The 24,205-nt window shown below is 35.4% G+C and overlaps 1 protein-coding gene, 1 long non-coding RNA gene and 1 pseudogene across 10 annotated transcripts in view; 1 reads left to right on the forward strand and 2 right to left on the reverse strand.

Annotated features, from left to right (window-relative positions):
- TRPC4 (transient receptor potential cation channel subfamily C member 4) overlaps positions 1–19,860 on the reverse strand; it is a 237,710-nt gene extending 217,850 nt beyond the window's left edge. For all 9 annotated transcript variants that reach the window (NM_001135958.3, NM_001354806.2, NM_001372055.1 and 6 more), the window contains exon 1: positions 19,683–19,860. The gene's annotated coding sequence lies outside the window, so the exon portion shown is untranslated. The remainder of the gene's footprint in view (positions 1–19,682) is intronic.
- Positions 4,940–5,058, reverse strand: RNA5SP26 (RNA, 5S ribosomal pseudogene 26; annotated as a pseudogene).
- Positions 19,231–23,987, forward strand: LOC124903160 (uncharacterized). The gene is made up of 2 exons (XR_007063762.1): positions 19,231–20,754; positions 22,293–23,987. It is a non-coding gene; the product is annotated as an uncharacterized LOC124903160 (long non-coding RNA).

A 24,205-nucleotide genomic window follows, 5' to 3' on the forward strand; every position in this document is an offset into this window, starting at 1 on the left:
ACAGAGTAAATAGTGTCTAATTTGGATTATATGAAAACTACCCGATATATTAACCATAAGCTGCAACAATACTGATGGTTAAATCAGAAACAATGTCTCACAGGCAGTTTTGAATGATATCTTAAAATCATGTGATCTGGTCTAATACAGTGTTTCCCACATCTGCAGAGCATCTTTAATAAAATATATTCTATCAAGATTTATAGGCAATTTTAGTGAAAACAGTGAAAACTGTAACACATGCAGTAGTGAGCTGTAGCACCTTCCAATCCTTTTATAATGGACATGAAATAATAGAAATGGGGATTACTCAGAAAACCATAGGCCTGAAAAATGTCACCTCAATGAAGCAGAGGTCAAATTGCTACTGCCTCTACTTCTTGTTCAGTTAATAATGTTTTTGCTATTAAATAAGAAAGAGCTCTTAGTTGGAACTCAGTTACAAGTAATTTGTGCCAGATTAATAGTTTTATCTACAATTTGTTATTTTATACAAAATAGATTTAAATGGTTGTTTAATTCCTGATGTGAAAGATGGTAATTTGGCAAGAATAATATTACTTCTGTGACAATAAAAAAGCACTGGCTAAAGATTCTAAAACATTTTTGTTTTGCTATATTCATCTCTCTATGGGTACAATTATATATCTCTACTGTGCCATAAGAATATAATTTTTTTCTTTTAAACATTTTGACTAAATGTTTCAACATAAAAATTAAGATATAAAAGAAGAGCTTATGCTTTTGACTGTGATTAAATTATATGTAGTGAATTAACACTCCTTCTGAAAACAATTAGACAAGCTGAGTAAATATAAATAAATATGAAAATAAATTAACTTTTCTTAAAGAAGAGTTGCAGAGCTAGCTAGGACTTGTGGAGCCAACATCCCAGATAGAGGGAAACCACACAGAAATGAATTGACCTTGTACAAGCCATATTTGCTCTCAAGGCATTTGTCAAGGCAACAAGAACACGTAATTCCCACGTCCTGGTGAAAAGGCATACAGATAAAAGTATGTGCCACACCAAGGCATTTGTTAAAATCTTATTGTTTGCAGAGAGAGAAGTAAAATGCTTATCAGAAAGCTGCTGAAAATTAGGGCAGAATATTCAGCAATCTCACACACACAAATGAGAAGATAAAATTTATTATTCTGGACTCTGCAGGAAGAAAAGACCTTATTAAAAAGTCAAGGCCCACAGGCCCCACAGGTCCTACAACATAGGAACAGGGTCATACAAGGAATACATAGAGTCTTGTAAAATTTTAAAATTAGTCTCCAGTCATTCCAGCCTGTGATTGGATTAGATGATTTACTCTTACCCTATTTGCTTTCCAGTAGACAGGATGTATCCTCTCTAAAGGAAGATAACAAAACTTCTACAATTCTTGATACACATTTTTCACTTTTAAATAAAAAAGTATGAGACATTTTAATTTAAAAATTCTTAACAAACAGACCAGCACATAACCCTGTTATTGGAGTTATCAGCCTCAGACTTTCTACTAAATATGATATTCAAGAATATTGAGAAATTAGATGAGAAATTTTAAAAATTTTATGAGACCTAAAATATAAGAAAATAAATCAAATGGAAATACTAGAAGTGGAAATTTCAATAACTGAAATTATTAATTCAATAAATTGGTTTAAGAGGGTGGAGTAAGGTGATGGAATAGAAGCCTACACCATTCATATTCCTAACACCAAATTATAACAATTATCTGCACACAGAAAAGTACCATCACAAGACACAAAAATCAGGTGAGCAATCACAGTACCTGGTTTTAATGTTATATCATTGAAAGAGGCATTGAGGAGGGTCTGAGAGACAGTCTTAATTGCTGATACCACCCCTCCCCTATCCTATGGCAGTGGCTAAACATGAGGAAAGTCTGTGCACTTGGAGGAGGGAGAGCACAGCAACAGGTGGACATTACTTTGAACTCAGTGCTGCCCTGCAATAGTGGAGAGTAAGCCTTGCTGGACTCAGCCAGTGCCTGTGCACAGAGGGAGCATTTGAACTAGACCTAGCCAGGTGGGAATTGCCTATCCCAGTGGTCAGAACTCAAGTTTCTGGACAAGTCTTGCCATCATGGGCCAAAGTGCTCTGGGGTCCTAGGTAAATGTGAAAGGCAGTCTAGAATGCAAGGACTACAATTCCTAGTGCTAGGCTGGACTCAGAACCAGAGGACTAAGGTGACATGTGACCTGGGGAGACATCAGCTGGGGCAGCTGAAGAAGAGCTTATGCCATCCTCCCCCAACCCAAGGCAGTGCAACTCACAGGAACAAAAGTGTCCCCTTCCTTCTGCTTAGGGGGTGGAGAGTAAAGAGTAAAGACGACTCTGTCTTGTATTGTGGATACCTACTCAGCCACAGTAGGAGAGGGTACTGGGCAGAGGCATTCAAGGCCCTAGCTCCAGATAACATTTCTAGACACACTCTGGGCCAAAAGGAAATCCATTGCTTTTATGAAACAATCCAGTTCTGGCAAGATTCATCACCTGCTGTCTAAAGAGCTCTTGGGCACTGAATAACCTGCAACGATCCCCAGAGAGTACACAATGGGCCTTGGGCCCTGAGACATGCTGGCTTCAGATGTGACCCAGAAGATTCCCAGCAATGGTGGCTATTATAAAAGACTTCCATTTGAGAAAAGCAGAGGGAAAAGTAAAGGGGAAATTTTCTTGCACCTTAGGTACCAGCTTGCACACAGTGGGGCAGAGCAATAAGCAGGCACTTGGGGTCCCTGAGTCCAGGCCCGGGCTCCTAGCATTTCTAGGCCTGTCCTGGGCCAGAAGGGAGCCCGCTACCTTGAAGGGTGAGTCCCAGGCTGTGCAGCGTTTACCACAAGCTGTCTGAAGAACTCTTGGGCATTAAGTGAACACTAGCAGTGGCCTGGCAGAACTCCACCATGGGCCAGTGGTGGTGATGCCCACCAGATGAAGCTCCTTTGCCTGTGAAAAGGAGAAGGAAGAGTGGGAAGGACTTCCTATTGTGGTCTGACTTTCACCTTAGCTGCAGTAGAATGGAACATCAGGCAAATTCCTAAGACTTTTGACTCTAATCCCTGACTTTCAGAAACCATCTCTGGAGTCACCGAGAGCCTGGGGAATCTCACTGCCCTGGGGAAAAGAATAAAAACCTGGCCTGCCGATTGCGGAGGCCTAGGACTTTGAGTGAACATAGGTGGTAGCCAGGTGGCAGTTACAGCAGGCCTTGGGCAAGACCCAGTGCTGTGCTGGCTTTAGGTCAGTCCCAACAAAGTCTAGTGCTGCTGGCCACAGAAGTGCCTGCATAACCATACCCTTAGTTCCAGCTGGGTCAGCCCAGAAAGAAAGAGACTCTTATTTGTTTACCTGAAAGTGAGGTAAATGAATAACAGTCTCTTCCTGGTAATCCAGAGAATTACTACAGATCTTATTAAAGACCACCAAGGCAGGACCCCTACAAGTCTGCAAAAATTTCAGTGATATTGGGCTTGCGGCCCAAGTCCCTGTGAATAGCTGGAAAGCCTTCTCAAGAAGGATAGGCAAAAACAAGTCTGGACTGTGAAGACTACAATAAACACCTAACTGTTCAATGGTCAGACAGCAAAGAACACCTATAAGCATCAAGAATATGCAGGAAAATATATGACTTCAACAAATGAAATAAATAAGTCACTGGGGACCAATCTTGGAGAAACAGAGACATGTGACCTTTCATACAGAGAACTCAAAATAGCTGTTTTAAGGAAACTCAAAGAAATTGCAGATAACACAGGGAAGGAGTTCAGAATCCAATCATATAAATTTAACAAAGAGATTAAAATAACTGAAAAGAATCAAGCAGAAATTCTAGAGTTGAAAAATGTAATTCACATGTTGAAGAATGCATCAGAGTAACTTAATAGCAGAATTGCTCAAGCAGAAGAATTGGTGAGGTTAAAGACAGGCTATTTGAAAATACACAGTCAAAGGAGACAGAAGAAAAAATAATAAAAAAATGAAGTATGCTTATAAGATGTAAAAAATAGCCTCAAAAGGGTAAATCTAATGGATATTGGCCTTAAAGAGGAAGTAGAGAAAGAGATAGGGATAGAAAGTATATTCAAAGGGGTAATATCCAAGAATTTCCCAATCCTAGAGAAAGATATCAACATTCAAGTAAAAGGTTATAGAACACCTAGCAGATTTAAGCCAAAGACAACTACCTTGAAACATTTAATATTGAATTCCCAAAGGTCAAGGATAAAGAAATTATCCTAAAAGCAGCAAGAGAAAAGAAACAAATAACATACATGTGAGTCCCAGTATGTCTGGCAGCAGACTTTTCAGTGAAAACCTTACAGGCTGAGAGAGTGGCATGACATATTTACAGTGCCGAACGAAAAATAAAATTATCCTAGAATAGTATATCCAGCAAAACTATCCTTCAAACATGAAGGATAAGTAAAGACTTTCCCAGACAAACAAAAGCTGAGGGATTTCATCAATACCAGACCTGTTCTACAAGAAATGTTAAAGAAAGTTCTTCAATCTAAAAGAAAATGGTGTTGATGATCAAGAAAAGAATCATCTAAAGATAAAAACTCACTGGTAATAGTAAGCACACAGTAAAACACAGAATACCATAACACTGCAATTGTTATGTAGACAGTATAATATGACATAAAGGGAAACAATAGAAAGTTAAAAAGCAGAGGAATAAAGCTAAGTGTGGAGTTTTTATTAATTTTCCTTTTGTGTGTTTGTTTATGCAATCAGTATTGTCATCAATTTAAAATACCAGATTATAAGATAATATTTGCAAGCCTCATGGTAACTTCGAATTGAAAATCACACAACAGATACCCTGAAAATACAAACCAAAAACTTAAATCATAACACCATAGAAAACTACCTTCATGGAAAGAAGACAGTAAAAAAGGAAGAGAAGGCCACAAAGCAATCAGAAAACAACAAAATGGTAGGAGTAAGTCTCCCATCCAAGTATTAACCAAGCCTGACCCTGTTTAGCTTCCAAGATCAGATGAGATTGGGTGAATTCAGGGTCACATGGCTGTAGAGTAAGTCTCTATTTATCAATAACAACCTTGAATGTAAATAGAATAAGCTTTTCAATCAAAAGACACAGTATGGCTGAATGGATAAAAAAATAAAGCCCCATGTTCTATTTGCCTACAAGAAACACACTACTATAAAGATACACATAGACTGAAAATAAAGGGTTGGAAAAAGATATTACATGCCAATGGAAATTTTAAAAAAGCAAGCAGGAGTAGCTACACATATATCTAACAAAATAGATTTCAAGACAAAAACTGTAAGAAGAGATAAAGAAGGTCACTATATAATATCAAAGGAGTCAATCCAGCAACAGGATACAATGTAGATATATATATATATATACACATGTAGATATATACAATGTAGATATATATATATATATATATGCACCTAATTCTAAAGCACCCAGATAGAAAAACATATGTTATTAAAGAGATAGATAGACCTCAATACAATCACAGCTGGAGATTTCAACATCCCACTTTTGGCACTGGACAGACCTCCCAGACAGAATATCAACAAAGAAACATCAGACTTAACTTGTGCTATAGGACAAATAGGCTTAATAGATATTTATAGAACATTTTACCCAAAATCTGCAGAATATACATTCCTTGCTTCAGCCCATGGATCATTCTCAGGAACAGGCCATAAGTTAAGTCACAAAACAAGTCTTAAAACATTCAAAAAATTGAGGTAATAGCAAGCATCTTCTTTCATCACAATGGAATAAAACTACAAATCAATAACAGGAGGAATTTTGGAAACTATTCAAACACATGGAAATTAAATAATATGCTCCTCAATGACCAGTGCATCAATAAAGTAATTAAGAAGGAAATTGAAAGATATCTTGAGACAAATTACAATGGAAACACAATATACCAAAACATATGGGATACAGCTAAAGCAGTACTAAGAGGAAAGTTTATAGCTGTAAGTGCCTACATCAGAAAGAGGAAAAACTTCAAATAAATGATTTAAGGATGCTTCTTACAGAACTAGAAAAGCAATAGCAAGCTAAACCCAAAATTAGTAGAAAAAAAGAAATAATAAAGATCAGACAAGATAAATGAAATTGAAATTAAGAGAAAAATACAAAAGATCAATGAAACAAAAAGTTTGTTTTTTGAAAAGATATACAAAACTGACAAACCTCTGGCCTGACTAAGAGAGAAGATCCAAATAAATGTATTTAGAAATGGAAAAGAAGACATTACAATTGATATTGCAGAAATCCCAAGGATCATCAGTGGCTGTTATGAGCAACTACATGCCAATAAATTCTAAAATCTAGAAGAAATGGACAAATTCCTGGACACATATAACCTACTAAAATTGAACCATGAACAAATCCAAAACCTGACTATACCAATAATAAGTAATGAGATCAAAGCTGTAATAATAAAGTCTCCTAGTAAAAAAAAAAAAAAAAAGCCCAGGATCTGATGCCTTCGCTGTTGAATTCTACCAAACATTTAAAGAAGAACTGATACCCATACTACTCAGACTATTCCAAAAAACTGAGGAGGAGGGAATAACTCCAAACTCATTCTACAAGGCTAGTATTACCCTGATACCAAGACCAGACAAAGACACATTAAAAAAAAAGAAAACTGCAGGCCAATATCTCTGATGAATATTGAGACAAAAATCCCCAACAAAATATGAGCAAACTGAATTAAATGATACATTAGAAAGGTCATTCATCATGACCATGTTGGATTTATCCCTGCAATGCAAGGATGGTTCAACATACACAAATCAATCAGTGTGATACATCATATAAACTAAAGGGTTAAACCATGCTAAAGGGTAAAAACCATATGATCACTTCAATTGATTCTGAAAAAGTATTTAATAAAATTCAACATCCTTCATGATAAAAACTCTCAAAAAACTGCATATAGAAACAATATACCTTCACATGATAAAAGCAATATATGACAAACCCACATCTAGTATCATAGAAATGGGGAAGAATTGAAAGTGTTTCTACTAAGATCTGGAACATGACAAGGATGCCCGCTTTCATAACTCTTATTCAACATAGTACCTAAAGATTCCACCATAAAACTATTAGAATTGATAAACAAATTCAATAAACTTGCAAGATACAAAATTAATGTACAAAAATTGGTAGCATTTCTATATGCCAACAGTAAACAATCTGACAAAGAAATAAAAAGTAATCCCATTTACAATAGCCACACATAAAAATAAATACCTATGAAATAACCAAGGAAATGAAAGATCTCTACAATTTAGACTATAAAACACTGATGAAAAAAATTAAAAAGGACACCAAAAATGGACAGATATTTCATTTTCATGGATTGGAAGAATCAATACTGGTAAAATGTTCATACTACCCAAAGAAATCTAAAAATTCAATGCAATCTCTTTCAAAATACCAATGACATTCTTCACAGAAACTGAAAAAATATTCTAAAATGTATATGCAACCACAAAGACCCAGAATCGCCAAAGCTATCCTAAGCAAAAATAACAGAACTGGAGGAATCATATTACTGACTTTGAATTATACTATAATGCTATAGTAACCAAAACAACATGATTTTGGCATAAAAACAGACACTTAAACAAATGGAATAGAATAGAGATCACAGTAACAAATCTACACACCCACAGTGAACTAATTTCTAACAAAGATGCCAAAAACACACACTGGAGAAAGGACAGTCTTTTCAATAATGATACTGGGAAACTGGATATCCATATGCAGAATAATGAAACTAGATCTTTAAATCTCATCATATACAAAAATCAAATCAAAGTGGCTTAAAAATTTAAATCTGAGACCTCAAACTATAAAACCACTGCAAGAAAACTTTGGAGAAACGCTTCAGAACACTGGTCTGGGAAAAAAGGTTTTGAGTAATACCCCGCAAGCATAGACAACCAAAGCAGAAATGGACAAATGGGATCACATCAAGTTAAAAAGTTTCTGCACAGCAAAAGAAACAATCAACAAAGTAAAAAGGCAACCCATAGAATGGGAGAAAATATCTTCAAACTACCCATCTGACAAGGGTTCAATAATTAGTATATATAAGAAGTTCAAACAACTCTATAGGTAAAAATCTAATAATCTGATCAAAAACAGGCAAAAGATTTGAATAGATATTTCTCAGAAGAAGACATACAAATGGAAAATAGGCACACAAGAAGGTGCCCAACATTATTGACCATAAGAGAAATGCAAATCAAAACTACAATGAGATATCTCCTCACCCCAGTTAAAATGGCTTCTATTCAAAAGGCAGACAATAACAAATGCTAGAGAAGATATGGAGAAAGGGGAACCCTCATACATTGTGGGTGGGAATGTACATTAATACAACCACAATGAAAAACAGTTTGGAGATGCCTCAAACAACTAAAAATGGAGCTGCTGTATGATCCAGCAATTCCAGCAATCCCACTGCAGGGTATATACCCAAAATAAAACGTATCAGTATATCGAAGGGATATCTACACTCCCATGTTTGTCTTAGTACTTTTCACAATAGTCAAAATTTGTAAGCAACCTAAGTATCCGTCAACAGATGAATGGATAAAGAAAATGTGGTACATATAAACAATGAAGTACTATTCAGCTATAAAAAAGAATGAGATCCTGTTACTTACAACAACATGGATGGAACTGGAGGTATTATGTTAAGTGAACACACAGAGAGACAGCACAGAAAGACAAGTATTATATGTTCTTACTTATTTGTGGGATATAAAAATCAAAACAATTGAACACATGGAGATAAAGAGTAGAAGGATGATTACCAGAGGCTGGTATGGGTAATGGGGGTTGAGAGGGAGTGGGGACAGTTAATGAGCACAAAAAATAGTTTGAAAGAATGAATAATATGTAGTATTTGATATCACAACTGTGACTAAAGTCAAACTCATTTAACTTTACATTTAAAAATAACTAAAAGGGCATAAATGGATGGTTTGTAACATAAAAGATAAATGGTCAAGTGAACAGATACCCCATTTTCCATGATGTGATTATTACTGACTGCGTGCCTGCATCAAAATATCTCTTGTACCCCATAAATACATACACCTACTATGTACACAAAAAATTAAAAATAAAAAATATACAAAATGAATAAATAAATCAGTTTACAGATAGGACATGGTGAAAAAAGAGGATTCATAAATGGGAAGAGAGCTGTAAATAAAATATACAGATTACAACACAGAGAACAAAAATAAATGGAAAAAGCATTAAAAGAAAAAGTACAGTTTACTAGAACATGACATAGTGTGAAAAGCTACATACATCTTTATTTGGAGGTCTTAAGAAGGAAAAAATGAAGGTCAAAGCTATATCTAAAGAGATAGTGACCAAAATTTTTCTGAAAGTAATGAAAGACAGGAAGCCATGCTTTGAAAATGGTCCAAATGTCAAACAGTAGAAATAAAAGGACACCATCTAGACACATAATTGGATGACTGCTGATAATAAAAGAGTAAGAGAAAACATAAAAACAGCAAAAAGAAAACACACATTAACCTCAAAGAGCATCATCAGACTCACAGCTGACTTTTCAACAGAAATGGTAGAAGTTGAAAGTCAATTTAACAGCATTTTGAAAGTACCGAAATGAAATGAATTTCCAACCTAGAATACTCTAGCTAATGAAAGTAACTTTAAAAGTGAGGTTAAAACAAAAACATTTCAATCACACAAAAATAAAAAATTCATAGTCAACATACAATGAAATGTGTACTAAAGAGAACTCTTAATCTGTCAAGATACATGTTGGTACTAGAAGGAATAGATGTCATCTAGAAAAACATCTGTGATATCTGTGATTATAAAAATTAAAAATAAAACTAAAATAGAAAATAAAACATACTAATCATTACTTCTGAAAAAATAAAAAATCATCTATCCAGCTCAGGCTCCCCACCCCCACCTCCATGCACATGTGTTGGTGCATAGAAATTATATATTTTAAAAGATAAACATACCATCCTCCGATGTATTTCAACTTACTTTAGGGTAAGAAGACAAAAATAGCTCATCAAACATATGGATAAATATTTTGCATTGTTTTGTGTTACACTTATATTTCTGGTAACTAGCAAACACTTTCAAAATACCATACTGGTAAGAGTTTAGGAAAATGAACTGAAAGTACTTATTGCATAAATTAAAATTAAAATGTTAAACTGTTTTTAAAATAAACTATTAACAATGATTAACAACATCAGTAATATATCAAGTATTTTGTTATTTTAGACAGGACATTTGAAAATATTCATATGGTGAATATTTTTAATATTTTTCTTTAGGATTATATTGAGCACTCATTTTAGTGTAAAACACTCAAACCCACCACGAATCATGTAATGATATTATCTTCATAATGCCATAGAGAGAACAATAGATCATTTTTCTGAAGCACAACAGACTAAATTCAATGTGCCTTTTCTGTACACAAAGGAACAATGTAATAACCTGAAATCTCCTTTCTTAAAACCTTTTTGTTTAAGCCTTTCTTCATATAAAATTTTCTTACATAGACTAGGAAGAAATGTCTATGTCCAACCTATGGAGAACAAATAAATCAGTAATTGGATTTCATCAGAAGGCATAATTCAATCAAGGTTATAATTCCATCTCACTATGAAAACATAATCTTACCACAATTTTATAAATGTGCATAAATATGGATTTTCACCATATGCACCACCTACATATGGAAGTACCCTACTATGGTTGAGGCAGCAGGGAATGTGAATTCATATACGGCAGCTCCTCTGTCATAAGCCTCCAATCCTAGATCCAATTAGACAATTGAAAATTCCCATTTGTAGGACTGATGGAGTGCTAGCAGAGTATAATATTGAAGAAACAAAGGGTATGTGAAACGCTTTGAGCAGTCGCTGTCTTCGGTTTACTTATGTATCTATTTCATTATATTTAAAGTAATCCAGATGAATTTCAGGCAGAACCTGAAACACTTCTAAAATAAATTGAATTCCAGTGTATTTTATGAGTAGAGTCTCATTAATCACATTAAATATTTGACAATAATCCTTTTATATATCAAAGATGAAAAGATCTCATTGTGACTCTCAAAACCAGAAGCATTATAAGAAAGTAGATTATCTTTTAAAAAACTTCATTTAGATAAACTGAAATGATTTAGGTTATATGCTTCAGATATACTAAGTTATTCAAAAATTGATCATTGCAAGTGTTCAATTTGTTTACTTTTTCTCAATTGGGTTGTATATTTACTTTGTAGATATTTACATTTTTAAAAAAATCAGAGGCTAAAATGTTTAATTTAAAAACAGATCTTCTGCATTTGATGTTGCCAATAATTATTGCCATTAACTATTAATCTAAAAATGGGCAATTTTCATTTTTTAATTATATACAATATTTCAATTACAGCAATGTAGTAACTGATAAGAAAGTACTTAAGTATACCAGCAAGTTCTGCTTTAAGTTCTGGTTTTAGTGGTTCATTGCTAAATACAATAGAATGCAAAGCAGTTCTTATTCTTCAGGTTAAAATTGTTGACATTTTTATATGATGGAAAAATATTTATCATAAATACTGTTATAATGAAATGTTATTTATTAAAGCTTCTTTTATTCATGAAAGGGCAAAATCATTTGCTGGTTCACTTTGTTCCAAGAACGTGCTGGAGTGCTAAATAAAAATGTGCAGTTCAGCTCCAAGTAGCTTGCACATTACAAATCAAAATGTTAAGCTGTGAGGTTAAAATGAACCAGATAAGCAAATAACGCTTTCCCCAGTGCCAGCATCTCTTTTTATACAGCACATGCAGAGGGACATATCTTTAAATGTTCTTTATCCTTTATTTTAGAGGCTCTCAGATGCTTAGAGGTAGGCACTCTAATTATTTTGCATGATAACCCTCAGAAAGCAAAACATTCTGGTACCATTGGTAGACCTAGGAATGCAGGTTCCAATAATGGTTTTTTTTAAAAAGGAGGAATGTATCTAGTCCAGTCCCTTCTTCATTTTCAAGATTAAAGGCCATGAGAAAGGTAGTCTATTTCTAGGCTTTCGATAGACGTAGCTGTAGACAGAGGAGCCCACAAGAAAACACTAACAGTGGGCCCTGAGTACTCCTAGATTTCTCTAAATTTGATCTGACCTTCTAAGAATCTCTTAAGCCAAGGTCTCTACTGTCTCTAGAGAAAGGGGTAGGGTGGTGAGAATCCAGGTCATTATATCCCTAACTATAAAAGTGCCTTCTTAGGTTTGCTTCATTGGTTCCATGTGGGGTAGGGTAACATGTGACTGTAACACCAAAAATCCAACCAGACTTTGGAAAACAACTTACCTCTTACAATACATAGCCTGTGAATGGTAATTTGGTAATATCTATGTATAAAAGGAAAACACTGTTTTTAATAGTGTCAATAATGCTATTTAAATTTAACACGGATTTACAGTAAAAAAACTTAAGTCCTACTCTTACGGAAAACAGTAATTAGTGGCAAAAAGGATATATTTAGATTGATTCCACCATGGCCCAAAGTTTTTGTTTTGTTTTGTTTTGTCTTTTAAATGTCAAGTATAGACTCTACTCATTGTAATATAATTTATGTTATTTATTTAATGAGTTCAGAGTTGTCATGGGAAAGGATCAGGAGAAAATAAGGTTGCCAAATATGTTTTAGATAATACAGGACACTGGAGTGTGATAAGAGGCTTATGAACAAACTTTGCTTAAAATATTAAAGAAAAAGGAAAATATGTCTTGTTCATCTCTGTATCCTCAGAATCTAGCAGAGTGACTGTTATGTATTAAGACCTCAGTAAAGTGTGTGCTCGTGTGTGTGTGTATGTGTGCGTATGTGTAGACAGAGAAATACACAGTCACGCATCACATAACAACATTTTGGGCAACAATGAACTATATACATGACGGTGGGCCCATAAGATTATAATACTGTATTTTTACTGTACTTTTTCTATGTTTAAATACACAAATACCTACCATTGTATATTTACAATTGCCCACAGTATTCACTACAGTAGCATGCTACACAGGTTTGTAGCCTAGGAGAAATAGGCTATTCCATATAGCCTAGGTATGTAGTAAGCTCTACCATCTAGGTTTGTGTAAGTACACTCCATGATGTTCGTGCAATGATGAAATTGCCTAATGATGCCTTTCTCAGGACGTATTTGATGTATGACTGCATGATCATATAGAAAGATTTAGGGGGCCTACTTACAAACATACTTTTAAATAAGATGATCTTCCAAGTCATTCATTGCAAATCTAACCATTTTATAGGGACACTGACATATTCAAAAACAAATACTGTGGTCCTTTATGGGTTACTCTATACTATTTGATAATAATTTGTGTCTCACACTCAAGCAGTCTCCCACTCTTTATTACTTGTTATTTACTGTTATTACATATATGTTTGTGTGTTTACACATATATACTTATATGTATGTTGTATACACATATATATTATATTCCTGTACATATTGGGCTCTAGATAAAATTAAAGAAGACCCAACTCTGCTTGTCAAACTGCAACTACCACAAAAGAGCATTCATTTAAAGTGTGACCTCAGTGTGATTCAGGGCATGCAGCTTCACTTTACCTTAGAATGAAAGGGATCTTTACATAAAAAGAAACTCATGCTGTCATAAATGATGGAGATGATTGTACATAAATCATGATAGATTCTCTGTTCTTCACTCCATGTACACTATGCCTGTCCTCTCATCCCTCCATTGTGTTTTTGGAGATTCATATTGGTGTATGATCAGCTACTTGAATGAACAGTGTGTTAAAGAGGTTGAGCATAGCAGCTGATGACAGACCAATTCAATCATCTATGCATTCATTTATTTCACTCATCTATTCAAAAAGCACATAGTCAGCACTATTATACTAATTCTGTGAAAATAAAAATTACAATGTGTTATGAACTATGATCCCGGTATGCAAATTGTGTTACTTCTCCACTATCATTTAGAGATGAAATGCATTAAAAATGTGGCAGAGTATCTGAACACTTTTCATAATCTGATTTGTAAAAACTCTATTGTCAATGAAGTAGAATGAAAATAATTTAAAACAAATCCCTCATGCCACCCACAATGGAACATCATGTATTGTCAAGTCTTTGAAATGCACTCTCAACTTACTTTCCAAATATCACTCCAAAGAAGTCTCTGGCTTTCTTTAGTTCAGTAAGCATTCCTGAGAAACACTTGTATCTGTCCTCTTTCAACTCTAACTACTCCTCTCATAGTGTAATGGAACAAAAGCCCTCCTTTAAGAATTCTGGCACAGTACCACTTAAACTGAAACACATTAATAACTGGTTATATAAATCCTATAAAAATGAGCATTATAGAGTAAGTAGCTGACTGAAAGTTAAGTTTATTGAATAATGGTGGGTAAATTATTTTTGTAACATAAGAAATAATATGGTACTCAATATATTGTATAAGTGCAACATTATCACAATTGGCATCATTATATAAAAATATGCTAAAAGTTTAGCCAAGTACAATATTATGAAAGTATAAAATACATTAATTATGTCAATTATGAAGCATAGTATTTATGGCACTCTAATTCAGTTACAAACTCACACAGTTTTGAAAATCCTCCGGTTTTCTTTAAAAAGTTTACTGTCTAGATCTGGAGACAGATCTTTGCCAGCCTGCAAGACAGAATATAACAAGCTCTTTGCTTGTATTTATACTTGGGACATCTGGAGAAATGAAGGAAACTTTCAAGGATACGGTCATATTGGATTTAACTAGGCACAAACTAGGCACTAACTAGGCACTAACTAGGCTTTAGTGCCTGCAGAATATTTTTACAGAAACAAAAAGGTAGAAGTTATTCTAGACAGAGGGAGCTTTGCCAGGAAATGCAACAAAAATGAAAAGCTTACGCATGTGCCATTCATCTATTGATTCAATTATTCATTTACTAATATTCAACAAATATCTACTGAATGGATAAGATTTTAGTGATAACTTTTGTAATGGTAGTACATATATTCAAAGAAAGTATTCCTTCAACCTCAATGTCAATAGGTTTTGGACACAATCCTGTCAGCGCAAATGCATATATATGTTTAGTAAATATCATGACAAATTCAGCTAATCGATGTCTTTTGGGATGCATGAATGAGAGCTCCTCTCAAATACCAAGGGACATTAAAATAATTGGAAAATTAAAATTTCAGGGAAAACTAAAACAAATACACTTGTCTAGAAATTTTACATAACATTGATAAGATGTAGTATAAACCTAACATGGCCTAGCATGACCTTTTTTTTAATAAAGACATTTTATTACCAGCTTACAGATGGTCAAAAGGTTAGCATGATAACTTTTTATTTATAAATTATAAGCTCATGAGTATTTCTAAAAAATTATAATCTTGAACTTTGTTCATAAAAACAAACTTTTTTTTTCTTTTTACATGTATTAGATTTATATTTAAGAATAAGAAAGGAAGTCATTTTGAGATCATCCTGCTCAAGATAAGTAGCTTATCTCTTGCTCTGCTTCAAAACTGATGGAACTTTAACAGACTATTGTTTCAAATTCTATCCCCATGATGGGGACAGTTGTTTATATTCCAATGTTATAATATTTTTAAAATTCAAGAAACAAATAGCTGAAAAAATGAATTTATGAAACTTGTTAAAAGATTATTGATTGTATTTTAGAAACCACAGGAATTAAGTAAAAAGAGTGTAGTCTTTACCATCAGGTAGACGTAGTACCTGATAGTAAAATTTGATATACTTCAAATCCTGCCTTCCCACAAAGCAATTTTGTGATTTTCATAAATTTCATCTTTCTCAGGTTGTTAAAATGTGATAATACTTCAGTTTCAAGGTAGATGTTAAGATAACAATGAAAAATAGCTTTCTTTTTCAAAGTTTCTCACATAGTGCCAAGTGTACATTAAATTCTCATAAATATTGGCCCATTTTCCCTCTTTTCTTTTTTCACAATAGGTCCTGTTTCAGGTAAATTTGAACTCTTGATAGTATTTGCTTGAAGTAATTTTTCAACATATTTCAAAATCTAACAGCAAACCACAGACAGAATATAATTAATGAATATCTGATTCATTTAATTTCACTGTCATTTCTCAAAAAGAATGCAGTGTGCTAGATAAAGCTATCAAGGCATATTTTTAAATTAATGTTTTAATTAACATTTCTAATTTTATATGTAACACTGTGTCCATGTGTCACTTAGTGTCTCTCAAGAAGTCATTATTCTATGACACTGCTATATTTTTAAAAAGAGAGATAAAACATACACTAATATTAATAGGATATTACATACAGTTTAGTTACAATAGTAGATCAAGTTCTGAAACTATTTCTTTCTTATTCTATTAAAATTAAACAACTTTCAGGAGGGTCACTTATATTTTTTAAACATTTAAATACAGCACTTAATTTGCTAAATAGTTCATGAAACCACAAGGTTTTGAATTAATACATTTTCAATGCGCATGCCTTTAATTTTCAGTTTCCCAAACAAATGGTGTCTTTCCCTAAATGCATTTTTTGCATCATAAAGTTATTTTGGTAATACTAATGTTCTCAAAAATTAGGTCTATATTTGTGCTGATTAAAAAGACACAGCCATGATATTATATCCCTGATCAAAATATTCTCAAATCTCTTAAAATATTGCGGGGTCAATGCCTCTGGAAGGGTGAGAAATAGAAAACATGAGTAGTGAGATAGTTCTAAATCAACTCTTCATTATAACTAGATAGAAACAAATTCCCAATTAAATTTGGGTTGAGTCGAACCAGTTTTAATGTTTATTTTTTGTGGGGGGGGGCGGGTATAGGGTATAAATTAGGTGAAAAGGCAAAGTTTTTATTTTGAGCTGTCTCCTCAACCTCATTTTTAATGAGAACCAAATAATCATGGTGGGGTTTCCATAGGCATTAAAGAGGTCAATAACACTGGTTCCAATTGAGTCTAGGCAATTCAATTTCTAAAGTCAAAGTGCACATTAGAATTTGATTTCATAAGCTATATGGCAATGATGGTTTTGGAAAAAGGAAAATTTAATAGTTTATTGTATTTTCCCTTTACCTGACATTATTTTCAAAAATACAACAATCATATTTTCATAAAATATTCAGTCCCTAATTTTATAGTTCTAGCTACTGCTTAGTATTTCTCATATATCTATCTTTACTTATATATCTATACTAACTTTAAGCACTGATAGTTACAATACTTACTATTGAACAAATGTGTGCATATTTTTATTTTTGTTCCAATATATGCATCGATCAGAAAAGAGAAATTATTTCAGTTTTCAGCTGCTAAATATAATGCTGATCATCTGAATTGCTATAAATAATCCTGGCAATTAAACATGCAGGTATAAAAATAAAACAGACTATTTCCAAAAATATACACTTAAAAGTAGTTTTAATTCAGTGGGGTTAAAATCAGTGCATCTTAAAGGGGGTTATTATATTTCAATACAAATGTAATTGTCTTTATCACAGGGTATGCTGATAGCATTTGACTAGATGATCAGATGTTTATAACTTTGAAATCATAAAAGAAAAATTAAAAATAATGATTGTCATTGTTTCTATCTTTCATCTACAGTTCAGAAACAGCAATTTTTCTAAGCTTAGTTATTACAGTGAAGTTTATAACAACATCTAGTTCACAAAAATATTGATAGACACAGCCATCCAAATATTGAAAAATAGCCAATCTAACTTCCAGATTCCTTACCAATTAAAATGATGTAATAGTTTATAAACATAAGTTGTTGTTTTTTAATATTTATTTAGCTTTGGATTCCTAAATGAGGATGTTGAAACAGGTAACTTTTCAGTCCTATAGATGGCTGTAGTTCTCCATGGAGCATAAGTTAGAAAGTTAGTTTGAAATGTGTGTATAGAATAAGACATTAAAATTTCCTCTAATGAGAAAGAATATAAAGATTGCTTCTGTTATTTCCTATTAATACACAGTATGAATCGATTAAGGTTATTTTATATGAAAAGTTATTTGGTCTCTTACTGGTCTAATAATTAAAATAGCTATAAAATTCAAAGAGAACTTTAACTCTGTCATAGACTTTTTAATGCAGTTTTATCTTGACCTTTTGGAAATAAGTGCAACAGAAAAATAAATAATATAACCATTACAAAATTTTAAAGGTTATAAGTAATGAAAATCTATTCCAACTCATATATCTTTCAGAATGACCAGTGAGCAAGTAAATTGAAATTGATCTTATTGTTTTTTTTCCCCCCTTAAACATTTAAGGAGGATGTTTTCTGGACAATAGTGTCCAGGTGAATAAGAAAGTAGGCGCTACAAATGTAACTTTAAATAGCAAACCCAACACAATGATGAAGATTTCAACATTTTAACATCTCCACCCACTCTTACTCTCAATGTCTAATTTAGAGTTTTACCAAAAACACCCCAAACCAAAAAACCCTCCAGTAAACCTTTTGCTTAAAGAATTTGTAATATTCTTTGTGCTGTGATTATGTACTGTGAAAGGAAAGGCAGAAATTATATGAGCTCTGAGAGGCGGTGTTTTATTAAAACTGAAAAAGTTTTACAAGTCTGTCTATTTTTTTTTTTAATAAAACAACTAAAGCTTCCTTCTGTCTCTTCCTACTCCTTTGGCTTGGTGCTTACTCCTTAAGCAACTTGCTGCATTTTATAGCTATGGAATTTCACTGGGAAGGGCCTCTCTAAGAAGCCATGTGAACAGGGATACACCATAGTGGATACACCATAGTGAATGCAGGCAGACAAGATAAGAGATCCCTTTCCTCAGCTCTCCTAAACCCTCGATGCCTTTCCAGTATTCTCTTGTCTCTAGTCGCAAAAGACAGCTGACTTCACAGCTGGAACAACAAGTTGTGCAGTGAATCCCAGTGATTTAACCAAGTAGCAAACCGGGTCATTGGCTTCATTGGCTTCATTGGAATCTCGGTTGCCAGGCGAACTAGGAATCACTAGCCTGGGTCGGGCAACACGGATAAAAGTGTTTCTGTTTCTTGACAGAGAATGAAAACGACGCAGAATGTAATCGATCGGTAGAACATTGATCACTCTCCTTCCTTCGTTACCCTACTTTAAGTGCCGGAGAGCTAAGGCCTCACTTATATGCACCCAGATGCCCCCGAGATCTCCATTTTCCCCAAATGCATAAAAGGCTAAAAACGGCCACATTCCCCAGCACCACGGCGTGGCTGCAGCTCCTTTGTTTACCATATAAGTCACACCGGGGGTTCACTCCTCGCCCTCTCCCCTGCTTTAAAGCCGAGTGCGGCGGAAGACTGAGGAGCACCCCCAAACTCCTGCTCAGCCCGAGTCAAGCACCGAAAGCTTCACAGGTTTTTTTCCTGAGCCTTGAAGAGAAACCACATAGCCAGAACCTTTTGAACTCCTAACCCCGCAGGGATGTCCGCCTCCCAGAAGAGAGCCGGCTTCCCAGGCAGCTTAGGAAACTTAACCGAGATCCCAGAAAGAAGGCGAGGTGTAGCTCCGGTCGAACGGAGCCCCGAGGCGACATCCTCTTTACCTGCAAAGTTGCAATCTTCGGGCTGAAGTGATGGGATCCGAGGACTGACGGCGCGGGTGCCGTGCGGGGTGAGAGCACGCCCGGCAAATTCCAATGGAATTCCCTTAGTCGCTGCTGAGTTTTGGAGCATTCCAAGGAAAACGATCGAAGCTGGAGCCCACGCAGCTGGCACCGAACTGGGCGGAGTGAGGATGCTCTGAAAGCGAAGCCATGGGAGGCGGGGGAGGGGCGGCCCGGGAGGGGGAGGTAACCGCCAGGGGAGGAGAACCTCTCCCACCCCCGCCTGCACAGATCCCTCTGGATAAAGTTAAGAGTTCCCACGGCTGACAGCGGATGAGCCCAGAGAAAGGCACCCCGCCCTCCGTCCCTGGTGGCTGCCGGGCTCGGGGTCCGCACAGACCGCGCTGGAAAGGGATAGTCCGGGAAGATGCGCGTCCCACGCACCACACTGCTTGGAGGTGGAGGAGACCCGCGCGCTGGCAGGAGCTGACGCTGCGTCCCCAGCTTGTCCCCCTCGAATAGCCTCCACCTACCGGGGCCAACTGCTTGAGGTCAGCCAGTGGGCAGGGGAGCTCACCACCAGCCAGCCGTCATCCAGCCAAGTCGGTGGCGAGAATCCACCCTGTGGTTCTGGATGCAAGCCAGACACACCTCCAGGCTTAGGGCGGTCTCTGCAGGCGTGTTGGACTTCAGTGCGCTCCGACACCCAGCTTTTGAATGCCCTGCTCCCAGCCCGGTAAACAAGCACCCATGAGGCCCGCCGCCCGACCGGAAAAAAGTAGTCCCCTGCAACTCTCAAAGCTTCTCCCACTCCCGCTTCTCTGGGCGACTGGCACCCCCTCTCCTGTCCTCAAGGTGTCAGACTTCCCTTGCAAGAGCTGGAGGATGCGGCTTGCCACTAGTGTCAACAATCAAAACAGTCGCAATGAATAAATGATGAGCCACAGCGTTCCAACCACCCTCATCCAGCTTGGTCTTTCCAAAAGGCATAGGAAATCAGCAAGTTTCCACCAAATATACCAAAACCCTAAGACGCGAGCCAGCCCAAGGGTGCAAGGTTCTGCGGCTGCAGGTGATGTGCGTGTGTGCGAGTGTGTGTGTGTGCGATACTGGTACCATCTTACTGAGAGTGAGATTTCAAGATAAACGTTATCTCTTGTCCAATCTCTTTAGTGTTCACATATGAAAATAAGATTAAAGTACAGAGAGGAATACACACACACACAAACCACACACACACTATTGGCAAAGTTGGCAATAACACTTGCTGTAACTGCAACACGGTGATTCCCAGCTTGTCACTCGGAAAGTCTTAATTGGTTGTGACCCCATGACCCAGAGAAAGATAGAGTTCACGTGTAAGATAGAGAGTGGAGCCCTTGAGGAATCCTAGCTGGCAATTACCCTCCTCGAGACTCTGTTTCTACCTGATTGCCGTTATTTTCTGAAAGCCCTGAGGTTAGCTGCTGGTCTCTGATTGTATCCCAGCAGACGCCTGATTCAGCTTCCAGTCTGCGCAAAAGCTTAGGAGCAACCGTTTTCTCCTATCCCAACCAAGTTGTTACACCTGGGAAGCTGTGCTGTGCCGACTGCAAGGCGGACCAGTTTCTTCCCATGGAATATTCCCAAGGAATATAAACTGACAAACTGGCATCCATATTCAGACTCTAAAGCACAAAATTAAAGAATTTCCTTTTTTATCTTTCCTACCCACTTCAGAGTTCACATGAGTTGAGGTTTTTGTAAATAGTTTTCACATGAGTAAAGAGGATATTACCAGAGATCACGCTGGGGTAACTGTGCATGCTGCTTTTTTTTTTTAAGTCACTTTTCTTATTTGTTAATTTATCTTTCTCCCTGCCTAACTGCTCCTCTATGGGTTTGTTCCCAGCTCAGCTAGACCCCTATTCTAAATTTCTGAGATACTAAGTCCTTCCCAAAATACTAAGATACATTGAGATAAACCTGGTTTCTACAATGCTACTGCAGTAAACAAAGGAGAGAACGACAAAAGGCTTTTCTCCTTCCTTGAATCTCTTTTTACTCTTTACTACAAGAAGAATATATTGACATGTTTAAACAGTTCTTTACTTTTCTTAACATTAAATGAAGGCTTTTAAAAATATGCAAAATGTATCTATCAGTAGACAAGGTAATAACTTTATAATAAATTCAAGTCCACTTTCTAACAAGGGAGGGGAGACTGTAAACATATATATGGAAATCTATTTTATTTAATGGAACTGTAAGTATTTTTGTGACATTTATTGACAATGTTTCTTCTTAGCCTGAAAAACAAAATTCTACATACTGTGTTTGAGTTTATATCTTTGAGATCAACCCGTGGTAGATAGAATTCCACATACTGAAATGAGTATAGGTCTTTATAATGCATATTAAAATACATGCAAGAGAAAAGCTGATCAGTGACAAACTTGTCCATTGTTTAGAAGTGATGAACTTTACTTTGCAACCTTAGCATCTGTACCAAGTTAGATGCTCCTGCCCTCTAAGGATTTGTTCTTTGTAGCAAATGTTATCTCTGTCATGATGTCAGCAAAGAGATATTATACCAATTTTTTCTAATTTGTTATTTCTTTCCATAAAAAGGTGCCTATGAAACTGCAATAAATACATAACAGAAGAGAACACCAAGGAGAGCACTATATATGTCAACCATCTGAGCAGGCTGTATTCCCACGGAAAGAAGAATTTGTATTGATCACTGAGCCTCCTTTTCAACAGTTTCATGTGATTATTGATTGCTGGTCTCAGGTCTCCTACAAAATGATTAGCAATTACAGGAAAATTATTTGAAATCTGTTTAAACAATCTGGTGAATTGCATATACTACAGTCATTAGCAATCCAAAGAGTTTATTTTTAACAATTTAAACATATGAGTTTGGCAGCATTCTACGAACCTGCACTCCACATAAAATGCAATTCATTGAAGTCAAAGAAATTTACAATAAAATGTTATATGCTATCTAGAATTTATTTTAGTACCTTATTAAACAGAACAAGAAAGCACTCATGTTTCCAAATTAGCAAGAGACAAGTGACCCAAGAAATGATAGCAGTAAAACAATTCTCTGTAATGTCTATTTATAGCTAAAGTATATTGTAGAATTGGGATCACAATTGTTTTAGGAATACAATTTTCACTTTACTCCTAAAGGTTATTGTTCTGTTTAGGAGCTGACATGTAACATGTATGAAACACTGTTTCAAAGCTGTTATACCTCAGACATAGAGACAAAGTCACAGAGACAAGTATTTGGAGAATTTATTCATGCACATGTGTCACCATCAGCATTTTTATGTGCCAGTAATGCATCTGTGTATGATGCCATCATGAAGTATATGATATTGGCCTTTCTGATGCTAAGATAAATTAAGAAATAGGTTATCATTGTCTTTGATGCCCATGTGACCTGTCTTCCACCTTTGTGACCAGGCCTTTACCTCCTACTGCACAAGGGCTCACCCAAACTCACTGAAGGGGCTCCACCTCAGCTTAACTTTTGGATTTGGCTCCTGCTCCAGGTTTTAGAATCCTCTGTTCTGTCATCAATGTAATGAGGCTTCAATCTAACCTACATGGCCATGCTATACACACAGCTTTTACCTGCCTATTTTTTAAAAAAATTAACATTTTCTAAGTTATCAAAATGTTATTCAAAAATGTTAATTTTAATGAATCACTACTTATTTCTATGAAATACTTAAGTATTTTTCAGGTCTTGAAAGTGTAATTGTTTTTATACTATTATTCCCTACTGGTATACTTTTGTTGAAAGCCGTTACACAAGCATTTTTGTCTGTATCTCTAATTATGTCCTCAGAATAGATTCCTAGTAATACAGCCCTGTGTCATGATGCAGAAATATTTTAAAGTACATGCTGTATGTTATAAGGGAGCTTGTTGCATTGAACCCTCATCAATACGGGGCATCCTTAAGGTCCTTTTTCTTCTTTTCTTTTTTTATTTTGACTGATTTCCTACTTGAAAGAAAATGGTATCTCAATGAGTTGTGTTAACTAGAAACGGTGACTTTTATATTTTGTGTACTTTGCTACTTGTTTCTTTTTGTGAGTTTACATACTTTTTCAATACTTACGGGGTTTTGTTGCTATTCCCCCATTTGGTTTATAATAACTCTTAATATTTGAACATTAGTACATTCCCATATTTATGGAAGATATTTCTCAGTTTTTAATTCTTTGTTAAATTTGGAGGTAATGTTATTTATTTTAAAGATGTTTCATTCTTACAAACATTAAACTATCAAATTTTCCCTGATAATTTATTTTAGTGCTTTAATGCTCCTAATATCTTTTTCCTCTCATATTCACTTATTTTTTCAAGCTTTTAAAAAATGATTTCATGTTTAAGGCAATTGCTTAGTCATTAACTTCATAGACCCTGGAATCATGTTATCTAAATTTAAAATCCCAGTCTCAACATTCATTCAACGAATATTTACAGAGTCTATGTTTAAATATTTTATGGAGTGCAAA

The sequence above is a fragment of the Homo sapiens genome, chromosome 13 (genome assembly GCF_000001405.40).
Source record: "Homo sapiens chromosome 13, GRCh38.p14 Primary Assembly".
In the NCBI taxonomy this organism is placed as follows: Eukaryota; Metazoa; Chordata; class Mammalia; order Primates; family Hominidae; genus Homo; species Homo sapiens.